Source organism: Homo sapiens, chromosome 1 (genome assembly GCF_000001405.40).
Source record: "Homo sapiens chromosome 1, GRCh38.p14 Primary Assembly".
Lineage (NCBI taxonomy): Eukaryota > Metazoa > Chordata > Mammalia > Primates > Hominidae > Homo > Homo sapiens.
This window is the reverse complement of record NC_000001.11, coordinates 147,488,754-147,501,786: the sequence shown is the minus strand read 5'-3', so window position 1 is coordinate 147,501,786 and position 13,033 is coordinate 147,488,754. Positions and strand designations below refer to the sequence as shown.

The following is a 13,033-nucleotide window of genomic DNA, read 5'->3' as shown; positions in this document are numbered from 1 at the left end:
GATATTTCTAAATACTTGTGTTAAGACTTTTTTGTCCTAAGCATGGACTTAAAAAAATGAACTTTTTTTCATCTTATGGTGCTATGAATGAGCTAATAGAAGATATTATGTATAATTTTAAAGGGCAAGTGAAATCTTCCCAGCCCTGCTTCCCTACTCAGGGACTTTGGCAGTCGGGTCATGCATTTTCCTTTGCTTCCAAAATACCCATTGGATCATAACTATTTCCCACTTCTACCCGTACTATGCTGCGGGAAGCTTGAGGGTATAGCTTAGTCCTGTTCATCTTTTTGTTTTTTTATTTTTTTGTTAACTCTTCAGCTAAGACAGAGTAAGAGGTAATTTATCGTATGGCTCTTTCACTCAGCCACAAGTGAACACAGAAATAGTCCAGAATGTCACAGGTCTGGGGCAAAGGACCAACATGGACAGTTTTTGTTATGAGCAAGGTGAGCCTCAGAGGTAGTCTCGGTGATCAGATGACGATGAAGTTCTAGATCCATTGAGAGAAGCTCTAGATCCATGCAGTTCAACAACTTGTACCAGCATTTCCAGCCTCTGCCATTCCATGTTTCTACTCCTGCGGCCTCCACTGGTGCACAGACTAGTGATTTACTTGAACCTTTGCCTCATCTTTCTTTTGCGCTTCAGCCTGCACATTCACTTCTTCCTCCACTTGGCTCTCATGGCACAGAGGTTTCCAAGAAGATGGCGCTAAGGCTGAGACCTCATCTTTTTATTGTCAGTTCTAAGCATTCAGTAGCTGGCACACAGTAAATGTTTCACACTTATTTATTGTTGAATGAGTGAATGTAGCATCTTCAGATTTATGTTCTGTCCTCTCCTACCTACCTGCCCTGTTACCATAATCCCCAACTTCTTTCTACTATTGTGTGTGTATGTGTGTATTTATATACGTGTATATATACGTATATATACGTGTGCATATATGTACACGTATATATATATACGTGTGTATATATGTACACGTATATATATATACGTGTATATATATTTTATTTTTCTGGACTGAGTCTTCATTCTTAACTTTAATAAACCATTGAGTTTAAAACAAACATATAAACTCTCAAATGCAGCCAGACTGGTGGATTACATAGAGACTATAAAAGGAATGAGTAAGCAAAAATTAGAAGTGCTCAATACTACAGAGGGAGAAGGTACTTTTGAGTATAGACACACAGTGCTAACTCTTTAAGTAGCTCTAAACCTACAGAGATGGGACAAAGGGGGCAGTTGAGAGCTTCAGCTTTGTAGGTAGACAAACCTGGAGTTGAATGAGGGTACTGCCCTCTCTAGGCTTCTCCTTCACCACTAGTAAAATGAAAGAGATAACCAGTGCAGGACCAAGTGAGATCATTGTTGTCCAGTGTTTGCCACATTGAGAGGTCCCGATAAGAATTAACTATAGAGTGAGGCTGTGAAGGGTCAACACACACAATCATGTCACTGCAAATAATTACTATTTTATTTTTTCCTTTCCAATTGCAATGCATTTTAATTATTTTTCTGACATTAACAGTATATGGCACAGACCAGTACAATGTTGAATAGAAATGATAACGTTCAGTGTTTTTCCACTTAATATGATTAGTTTTAATTTGTTTGTGGATACTTATTATCAGAGTGAGGACATTCCCTTGTATTCCTAGTGTGCTGTGAGTTTTTATCATAAGAGGGAGCAGTATTTTGTCATATCCATTTTATGCATTGATTGAAATAATCATACTGCTTTTCTCTTCATTCATCTTCACCCCAACGAGGAGAAATGGTTTCTTAAGAACATCCCATGCACTTTATTTCAAATCTGTGATCATAGAGCGTTTGCTCTCATGAGGGGAACTGACAACTAGGAGGAAGTGCCCCATTCCTCAACACCAACTCTGGGAAGTGGTGGGAAATCTCTCCTTGTCTATGTGAATGTGTTTGCCTTCTGGTTTACCAATCATTTTTATAAGACATTTCTTACTTGAGACTTTAACTTGAACTGACTGAGTTCAGGAGGAGACCCTGGACCTGTGGTGACTTTCCCTCACCTCTCCCTCCAAACACACACACAAGATGCAGCCACCTAGGGAGAATTTGTCAGAGACAGCCAAGCATCTCTCGCCGTGTAAAGAGCAACAGCAGTCATTTTCATCATGACCATCATCATCATGATAGGTTAATAGGGCACTTGTGCATTAAGGACAAATGTGAGTCATAAATATAAGAATAATAATTTAAAAGAAATAAGATCATTCATTTTAACTCTATTCTCCACTGTCCTTTGCTTTGCTGAAATTATACAACCCATCAAGCAGCAGACAGACACCCAATTGAATGTGGTTACCAGAAACACTCCCTGCCTTTGCTTTGTGATTGGTTGAGTGTCTCCTGAGGGCCAGGAGCTTTTTAAGCAGCTGGTGCAAATGGATGCCTTTCTGAAATTAACCAGTTGATGAATGTCACAGCCATCAGGCTTCCCTCCAGTGTTGGACCAGACAGTGCTCAAGCTGCTTGCTTCCCTCACAGCCTCCAGGGTCCATGACTGAGGGGAAGATGAATGGTCCAGGGGATGGGTGGGCAACCAGTTCAAAGCCAACTGCAGAATGCTCAGCCTTTGAGGACTGATATTTCTCTCTCTTATGCATCCTTGTATCTATGTGTGGCCTTTGCCATGTCCAAAATTTCTCGATGTTTGTTTAGGACTGAGGTCCTCTGAGGAGGGGTTTATGTATGTGGTATAAAGACCCAGACTTGACCCTGGCTCAGGTGCTTACAAACTGTGGAAACGTGGGCATGTTATTACCCACTCTGAGTTTCACTTTCCTCAACTGTATAAGGAGAAAATAAGACCTGCTTCACATGAGCATTAAATGATACATGAAGCCTGTTTCAGAGCCACTGGAATATATTGGGCACTCAGTAAATGGTAGGTAGGGTATTATTATTACTATCCTTACTACTGTTATGGAAGGAACCAAGAAGGTCAACTGAATCCAGATATCACAGACCATAAATGCTGTTATTAGAGACTTACTTCTTTGGGTTCTTCTCCCGGTGGATCCTCTTTTAAAAAACAGATATGGATTTTGCATATACTGAGGTGTTAGTAACATACATTACTAACCCATCTAAGTACTTTCATCTTGACCTGAAAGAGGCAAGGGGTTATCAGACTACATTTCCTTTCATCGTGATTTTTCCCACAGTTGGACCCATATCCAAAGGCCACTAAGCTGAGTCTAGTAACTGTGAGTTGCTCTAGTTAGCATTGGGAATGGAACCTACACTCACAAATGCTTTATGGTCCTGGTTGTTTCTGTCCTGACAGAGTACTGGGGTGGGACCAGGAGGCTGGGCTGGTCCTAGCTCTGTCACTGTCTAGGTGGCTTTGGCCAGGGTCTCTCTTTGGATGTCAGTCTCTTCATCTGCAAAATGGAAGGGTTGCATTTTATTGGTGATTTCCAAGTGGTGAACAGGGAAACTGCCCTTTGACAAACACCAGGAGTGAGGAAGAAAAGGGGTTAGAAGAGAGACAGAGAAGAGCCAGATCACAGTTGCTGAAGGGGAAAGGGCAGGGGTAGAAAATCTGTTTGAGAAGAGTAATTCCTGCTTCCCAAAGGACCAGCACTTGGGAAACTAGACTAAATATCTCTGAGGCCATGGGAATGTACAGCCCACTTCGGGTTAGGCAAAACTGTATATGTAACCTAAAGAGGCAAGGGTTTACATAAGGCTAAACAGCCACCCAGAAGGGAATTAGATTTCAAAGCCTCTGCGTTCTGGCCCACTGCTTAGCCACATGCTGCACCTGTTTCCCTTTTCCTTTTTACTAACATGGGCTCTCCCTCTAACACCTACTGACCATTAATTAATGGCCAACAAATCAGTTGAGACACTGTACTAAGTACTTACTGTTCACAGTATCAGAATTTATGCAATAAATTGTATTCTTCTTAGGGGTTGTTAGCATATCCGAAGGCCAATTGTGGAGCCTGGCAAGGTGATCTTTTAAGTGTCTGCTTAAAATTCTATCCACAAGGTTCTGTTGCCTAGAAAATTCTTAATGAGAAGAGTTAAATAAGTAGTTGATCAACGCAGGCACAGTTTTAGGAACACTAATGGACATCAGCTGGTTGGTGGACATTAGTTAGGGCAGGTAGGTCCACCTAAGACTCTCCTCGATTTATTCCTTTGGCTCTTGACTCTTGCCATGCTGCAGTTATGAAGTGCTTTGAGCCTCTCCTCGGTCCGATTCCTCTACATGTTGGTCTGTGATGTGAGAGCAGGAGTCATGGAATTAGAAAACCTGGTTCTTGTGCTCACTTGCTGCCTACCTGCTGTGTAATATTGGGCAGCTGTATACTCTCTCTGAGGCTTAGCTGCCTCATCTGCAAAACAGGCAATAACAACAACCTCCCAGACTGGTTGTGACTATCAACCAAGGTCACTGGCAGGAATAAACATATTGCAAACTGTAGGGCTCTGTGAAACTGTGAGCTCCTTGAGGCCTGGTCAGTGACTCTGTTTTTTGTTGTATATAATATTTAATGCAGTAGTTCTCAACTACATAAGAATCATCCAGAGAGCTTTTAAAAAATACAAAGGCCTGGGCTGCACTCCCAGATATTCTTACTTAATTGTTTTAGGGTGGAGCTGCGGCATTGGTATTTTTAAAAGTTCCCAGGTGATTCCAATGTGCAGTCAGAGTCAAAAATTACATTTGGCTCTTTGCTGGAGGCTCAGTTCTGTTGGATGAATGAATGATTCTAATTATGACTTCCTCTCTCCTTTCCCTGGAGGAGTGTGCTTTGTCCTGGATGGAAAGATGTTTCCTGTGTCAGGCTTTATTCAGGCGCCTGGCTATTTCTAGAACTGCTTTGGAAGAGCATCTGGACATTCATGTTCAGAAGATGCTCACAATGACAAACATGCTGGTGGGCAGCACCTCAAGGGGCCAGATGGGGCGGCCCTGCAGTTGCTGAACGTGGCCACTGGGCTAGTTAGTATTTCTAAGTGGCAGTGTGCCAGGCCTTGGGTAGGCGGAAGGGAGCTGGGATTCCCTGGCCTCCCTCCTACTTCCCACCAATTAGGTCAGGTCAGCCTTTGGCTGTGTTAAATGCTTTAGGAAGTTCCTGGACCCTTTCCTATTGTTTACCTTGTGAAGACATTTCAGTCAGAGTTTTTTAATAGAACAGTGGAACATGAAATTAATTTTCTGGGCAAGCTGGTAGTGAGGTATACTGGTGTTACAAATCTAACTTTAGATTTTTTACTTCAGCTTTTGACTGTACTTCCTTTCAGGAAGAATTCTTTTATGGAATTCAACCAGCCCTAACTCTGTGTGTGTGTGTGTGTGTGTGTGTGTGTGTGTTCTCCTTCATCCACCAAACACACCATGTTTTGATGCATCTGATTTACCATATACAGTTGTGGCAGGAATTTCTTCTTCCCACCTCCCCAGGCCAGTGTGAGCTTCCCCTGAAGCCATCTTGGATCCCCTCAGTTAGGGGCCGCTGCTCAGAATTCCCAGCAGCCTTCCTGTTGCAGCACTTCCCACGTCCTCAATCCTTACACCTCCAGGAATAGGGCACAGGCAGTGCTGTGAAAGCTCAGGCAGAGCTGGGCTTAAACTCCAGAGCTTCTCCGTATTTTCTGAAAGACCTTGGACAAGTTATTTAACTTTTCGGAGACTCAATTTTCTCATCTCTAAAATCATGAGGGACTGTTGATGAATCCTTAAGGACTAATAATCACTGGCGTGACTATCGTGAGAATCCAAGAGGTAAGATAAATAAAGTTACAGGGAAAAGCCTGGCATGAAATTGTTGTTTCTTGCTGAGGGTAGGATTCGTGTGTGTCCTCCCCAAATGCCCAGGTCCCTCCTTCAATGGGCACTCAACAAATATCCACTGAATGGGGGTGCATGAAAGGACATGCTGGGAATCTAAACCTTAGGACAGAGCAAGGAAGCCCCTTTCCTTTCCATGCCTCCTTGTTCAACTAAAGCTATATGTACCTCCTATGGTTGTATTTATTTGTTGTGTCTTTTAAAGCAATATAGTTCTCTTTATGTGTACTCCAACATGCAGCAAAGTATTGTAACCAGACTGCATCATTTGAGTTCATTCCTGAAAGTTGCTTCTTGAGGTTGAGCCATCTTAGAGAAGAACCTGGCCTCAGCAGAAAGAGGTGAAGGCCACAGCATTGGCTGAGTGTTCACTAAGTGCCGGGCCCCTCAACTATGACAGTGTACCAACAGAACACATGGCACGGCAGAAGCACTCATCACCCATAAAACAGATCAAGATGCTGAAGTTCAGAGAAGTTAGGAAGTTTCACTGAGCACCCAAGATAAGACACAGCAAAATGGGATTCTTGGCTCTAAAACCCATATACTTTCCATTATATCACACTGAATTTTGCATCAGAGGAACTGTGGTGGAATTGTGACTTTGTCACTAACCAGCCGGGAGGCCTTGGGAGAGCCACTTAATATTTCTGAGGCTCTAATTTCCTCAACCTACAGGGAGGGTTGGACCACTAGGCGATGGCGCGGTTCTCAAATTCGGTTTCAGTGGCTGTCTGTACCAGCCACTGCTAGTGTCTGCAGCCCTCTAGTGGTGCTTTGCAGGAACCAAGTGGTACCTAACCTTTCCAGGGCAGTTATTCACAAAGCGTTGATGCAGACTGCCAGGGCACCTGGGGCCTCAATGCCTGTTCACATTCACTGACCATGAATTAAAGACAAGCAGGGCTCAGAGGAGCCCTGGAGATAGACGTGAGCCTCATTGGTCCTCAGAGGGATTATTATTTTTAAAACTTTGCTTTCTGTTTGTTCTATACCATGCCTAGGACTCTCACTCACCTTTGAATGATAAAGAATGAACCCTCCCCATAGATTAAAATTGTAATTTTAAATTTAGTCATGGTATGTGCATGTACCTGACTTTGTTCATATCCCACAGCCCTAATATAATCAGGCCATCTTGGCGGCAACAGGATTGCTGAAGGGATGCTGTGTTGTGGACCAGCACATCGGGTTTAAGCCCTGGTAATGCTAGGCATTGACACCACTGGGTCTCTCACCTCTCTGCACCCCAAACTTATCATGGGTAAATGAGGGGTTTGGTGGAAGAGGCCTTGCAACTCTGTCTTATGCATGTGCATGGAGCTGATTCTTTAGAATGGCAGAGTTTTACCATTCCATTCAGTCTTTGAGATTTTTGCTGATGGGAACATGCCTTTCAGTGAAGCTGGGACAGAGGGGTTAGGAAAAGATATTATCTAGAGCTTAAGGTAGAGTAAGGTGAACAAGCATGGCCTTAGGAGCCACCTACATGCTGACAATTCTTACACATATGACCTGGGCCTCTTCCCTGAGATCCAGACTTAGTATCTACCTGTCTGCTCCATTTGGAAATCTAACAGCTATTTCAAACTTAACATGGCCAAATAGAGCTATTTATTCCCCATTCCTCCTAGGTCTATTCCCCAACCCTGGCCTTTCCCACCTTAGTGAATGGTACCACTATCTACCTAGTTGCTCTAGGAGCCCTATTTACTTTTCTTCTTTCAGTTATATCCCCATGTCTAGGTCTTCCAAAAACCCCTTCGCTCTACCTATAAAATATATCTCAAAGCTGACAATTTCTTCCATCTCTACTGTCTGCTACTGTAACACCTTACTCTCTTTCCACCTGGATGACATGACAGCCATAGCCTCTTTTTTTTTTTTTTTTTTTTTTTTGAGACCTAGTCTCATTCTGTCACCTAGGCTGGAGTACAGTGGTGCGATCTTGGCTCACTGCAACTTCTGCCTCCCGGGTTCAAGTGATTCTCCTGCCTCAGCCTCCTGAGTAGCTGGGATTACAGGTGTGTGCCACCACGCCCAGCTAATTTTTGTATTTTTAGTAGAGACGGGGTTTCACCATGTTTTCCAGGCTGGTCTAGAACTCCTGACCTTGTGAACCGCCTGCCTCGGCCTCCCAAAGTGTTAGGATTACAGGCGTGAGCCACCACGCCCAGCCAGCCATAGCCTCTTAACAGGTCTTGGACTTCTACTCTTCCCCCTGGAATTCATCCTTCAGAGTGATTATTCAGAAGAGCAGCACAGATTGTGTTGCCCCCTTACTTAAATCCCTCTAGTGGTTTTGCCTTTGCTTACAGAACCAAATCAAATCCCTAATCTATTGGCACTCCTGCTCCAACCCTCCCACGCTCACCAGCCAGTCTTTCTCCACCCACCCCTCCTTCATCTCACATTGCTCTGGCCACCCCGGCCTTCCCGCCTTCCCTGAAGATACCAAAGTCTTTCTCTTCGTGGGGCCTGTGCTGTCATTTTTTTGCCTGAAATGCTCTTCCTTTAGATTTTAACACAGCTGTCTTCCTCATGATCAATATTGCCTCGAGTCCCAAATGTGACCTCCTCTGAGGGGCCATCCCTGCCCCCACTAACGGAAGCAGCGCCTGAGTCATAGCCCCATATTTTATGTATTTTTTATCCCTTACTCCTGCCTGATTTTTAAAAATTTGTTTAGGAGCTTAACAGCACTCTCCACACTAGAATATAACTTCCTTTTGAGCATAGAAGGTATTCTTCTTGCTCACCACTGATTCTCCAGAGCTTTGAATTATGGGTCTTCAAAAATATTTCATGATGAATTAACTGACAGCTGATGATCCCGGCCTGCTTCATTAACTCTTTACACAGGCTCGTCAGTATAGCACACAATTTTGTCATCCAGAAGAAAGAAGAAAGTTATATTTTGTTTGTTTGTTTGTTTGTTTGTTTTATGAGAGGGTCTCACTCTGTCTCCAAGGCTGTAGTGCAGTGGTGCGATCTTGGCTCACTGCAACCTCCACATCCCGGGTTCAAGGGAGTCTTGTGCCTCAGCCTCCCGGGTAGTTAGGATTACAGGTGCATGCCACCATGCTCAGCTAATTTTTGTATTTTTAGTAGAGATGGGGTTTCACCATGTTGGCCAGGCTGGTGTCGAACTCCTGACCTCAGGTGATCCACCTGCTTTGACCTCCCAAAGTGCTGGGATTATAGGTGTGAGCCACCGCACCCGGCCTAGCAGAAAGTTTTTTCAATTACACTATCTTAGTCCTATTCTCTAGTCTTAACTGAACATAGTTCTCAAGATTCAATTCTGGCTATCATAGTAGCATTTCTTCAAAACATGAAGAAATGTCTGCTCTGGGCTAGCAGAGATGGAAGGAATGAAGGAGTGTATGTATGTGTGATCAGTATGTATTTGTATGTGCTTGCGTGTGTATTGAGGGGCTGGGATTTCATTTTATAGTTGAGTGTGGTAAATGATTTTAAGCTGCCTTACCTAGAATTCAGAGTGTAACTTAGTGTAAATAAAGCACCAGGTGGCAGCAGGGGAATATTGCTACACATTTTTTTTTTTTTAAACACTTAAGGTATTTTCCCAGTGGATTAGCTGCTATACAAAATGGACAATTAGACACAGGCCTGCACAAAGAGCTTGCAATCTATAGATGGATCAGTTGTCATTATATAAAGCTCCATATCTTCATTATCAAAAGCAGCTATGCTGAATGCTCTTCTCTGAAAGATTGTAAGCAAGCTCTGCAGAACCTGGGCAGGCCAGGGTGAGCCTTGCTCTGTGGAGATTATAACAGAAAATAAAAAATAAAGGAAATGTAGATGGGCATACCAGCTCTGAACAAGTTAAGGAATGATTATGTATTGCAAATTATTTGTTAACTTGGCTATTTATAGTTTATAGTATAGTGTCTGTCTCTAGACTGAAAGTCCTTCGAAGGCAGGCACCAATCTTTTTCTTCTTTAAATCCGGAAACACTTAGCAGGGAGCCCATCACATGAAAGGGGCTTAATAAACGTTTGTTGAACAACTGAGAAAAAAGTTAAGAAATTAAAAAGTAAAAATGAGAAGAAAAAACTGTGAACACTACTATACAGAAAGGAATTCGGAGCATGCCTTGTATCAAGTATCTGAGTTGCATGCTCTTAGTCCCAGAGTGCAGTTTTATTTATCTTTCCTTCTTTTTTCTTGAAGAAGAGGCAAGGATCCTTCCATGCCTGACTTCAGTGGAATATTGACCTCTTAGAGATTTTCAGATTAGGAAATGCAGGTAAATGAAAGAGGTTACTATCCAGAGAAAACCATTAAGACATATTCCCATTTAGCTGAACCAGAGTTGCCCACTATTTTTTTTGTAGTTAAAGATCATCAGTGTGGACCTGGAGACCACGTTCTGTGTTTTGTAATCTTCAACGTCCTAGTGTGTTTATTATCATCCAAGAGTTGAAAGACAAAAAGCAAGCATGTTATTTCTTAGGAGTTGAGCTTCTCTTTAGATGAGGTGCCTTTCATTTCTTTTTCATGCCAGCCCACCACTTCCCAGTTCCACAGAAGCATGGTCCTAGAGGAATTTCTTCCTCCTTGGGCAGGAAGGGTGAAGGGTGAGGAGGACTAAGGGGGGGCCCCTAGAGGAAACAGGAGAGGCAAGCAGGGAGAAAGCACAAGGCTGGAGACAACTCTGGTACGGGGGACAGGGCACTGTGAAAAAGGAACTTGGGGTGTCTTGTGGCAGATCACACTCCCTACACCTGCAAGTGGAGGTTAGAGTTCAGATTAGATTAGCATTAGCTTAGATTTTATCCCGAACTATAGCTTAAATTCTAAGGAGAAAATCACAGTATATATCTTCTCCAGCCCCAAATCCAGAATCCTCTATCAGTCCAGGGAGTCTGAACTTGAATTCCCTTTAATGAGAGGAAAAGCCTTTCTTCTACAATAATAGATTAAAAAGCCTTACAGCTTCAAATGGAAGAAACACACTGGTGTGAGGAATGTAAAAATATACCTGACAGTTTTCTTTCCTGTGTGTTTTGGGCCGGTGGGTGGGTGGAGAACTGTAGAGGAGAAAAGGGAGTGCTGGAGACTTCGGCTGAGCTGTTTCTCTTCATCCCTGTGCAAAAAAACAGAGGCTGCCAATCCACACTCTCTGCAAAGATCATTATGGACATTTCAGCAGCTCCTCATCTCTATTTTCCCATTATTGGTTCCACTTTTATAATAATTTCTGAAAATAATATAAAAATTTTCTGGGTTATAGATAATTATCTTAAAAACTGAATATGGTCACCCAGTTTTAGTGCCTGAGTTTGCGTCTATTATTATATTTCTGCCAAGTGAAGTCTAAATAATATCCTAGAGTGTCCTGTGAATGAAGGTTTTGCACTAGGTCAAGAAAGTAAAAGCGCTGGGAGAACGACTATCACAACCACGTGACAGAAGAATAGAAATGTCAGACTTTAAAGAATCTGGCCGGGTGCGATGGCTCACGCTTGTAATCCCAGTACTTTGGGAGGCCAAGGCGGGTGGATCAAGAGGTCAGGAGTTTGAGACCACCCTGGCCAACACAGTGAAACCCCATCTCTAGTAAAAATACAAAAATTAGCTGGGTGTGGTGGCAGGCACCTGTAATCCCAGCTACACAAGAGGCTGAGGCAGGAGAATCGCTTGAACCTGGGAGGTGGAGGTTGCAGTGAGCCAAGATGGCTCCACTGCACTCCAGCCTGGGCAACAGAGACCCCGTCTCAAAAAAAAAAAAAAAAAAAGAATCTGTGCATATAGTGAGTACATTCATATGGTATCAATATTTTAAATGTTTTACTTGTATTCTTTGTTCATACCAACTTGATACAGTTCAACAGAAGAAAATAAATATACAATAATTTTTTTGTTCAAAAAGTTTTTTAAAATTATAGTATTTTATTTGGAAGTGAATCCTTAATTGATTGACCTATCCAAAAATAAATTTGTGGTTATGAGTTTCTTTTTAAAAAACTGAAATGATCAGCAATCATATTATTGATTCAAATGCAAGTGTATCATGTACAAAATAAAAAAGAACCGTTAATAATAATATGTTATGTCATTATCAATAAACTCTGCATTGGTGATTTTGTTTAAACAAAGCAATATTACATATCACATTAACTTAATGTGGTCGATTTGAAGTTCATTTGTTTTACTTATATTTATTTTATAAATTGATTTGGTTTTATAGTTATATAGTTGCTTATATAAGAACTATAAGCATAAAGATTGGCGTTAACACCTAGTTTTATGATTGTGCATATTTATGCAACTTTATAATACATGTAATATAAGCCAACATTTTATATGTCATGTGTTAGTTAAGTTTAAGAGACGTTTTTCTGAATGAGTGTTTCCCAAAGATTATTCTGTGGAATGCTAGTTCCAGGAAATGAGCAGCAACAACAACAAAATGTTTTGTTAACAAATACATTTAGGAAATGCACTACAGCTACCTTTTTGGGAATTGATAGTATATGTTAGCTATTTCAACATGAGAAAACTGCAATTTTGACTACAGTTTTTCAAAATTATTTGCTTGTGTTAAACCGTCTTTAAGTGAAACAATCGTTAGAATCTTACAGTGTTCTACAAAACGCAGTAAAGGAAAATTGTTCTAGACTAGAAAAAAGCAGATTATCCACTTTTCTCTGCAGAAAAAAGCAAGGTAACAAAGTCAGACACTTTAACAAGAATGTGGCTCCAGGGGGTGAAAGTATTGAAAAATAGACTTTTTTTTCCTTCTGCAAATGCAAATGATACTGATAAGGAAGGAAAGGTTGGAGGGTGTATTGAAAAGGTTGAGACCGGCTGCACAGAATGCTGTCTGCTCTATAGTCAAACATGAAGAGTGCCGTTTGTAGGAGAGATGGAACCATAGACAAGGATGATTTTTTCAGTGTGGCCCAATGGGTAAGTTTTGGTGAAAGTTACCACAGGGCAAATTTCACTATGAAAGAAGGAAGACCATTCCAGTTATTTGAGATGTCCAAAGATGAAATGACTGCTTTGGGACAGAATATGTGCCCTACCCTAAGCAGCTCAAACAAAGGCCGAATGAGGATGTAGATGAAATTCAGGTTATCAAGTAAGTGGTTGGACTCGATGATTTTTAACCTTTAGTTCTATGAGTCCACTTATTTGTGATC

General features: G+C 41.9%; 1 long non-coding RNA gene across 1 annotated transcript in view, besides 1 other annotated feature; it reads left to right on the top strand.

The window, feature by feature from the left end:
- The window catches only part of LINC00624 (long intergenic non-protein coding RNA 624), a 135,684-nt gene that overhangs the window by 16,089 nt on the left and 106,562 nt on the right, over positions 1-13,033 (top strand). The window lies entirely within an intron of this gene.
- Positions 6,535-6,724: a silencer, noted in NCBI's record as "silent region_1280". NCBI's record gives its function as "represses an Ori minimal core promoter by ATAC-STARR-seq in GM12878 lymphoblastoid cells {active_cell/tissue: GM12878}" and the evidence as "EXISTENCE:reporter gene assay evidence [ECO:0000049][PMID:35858748]".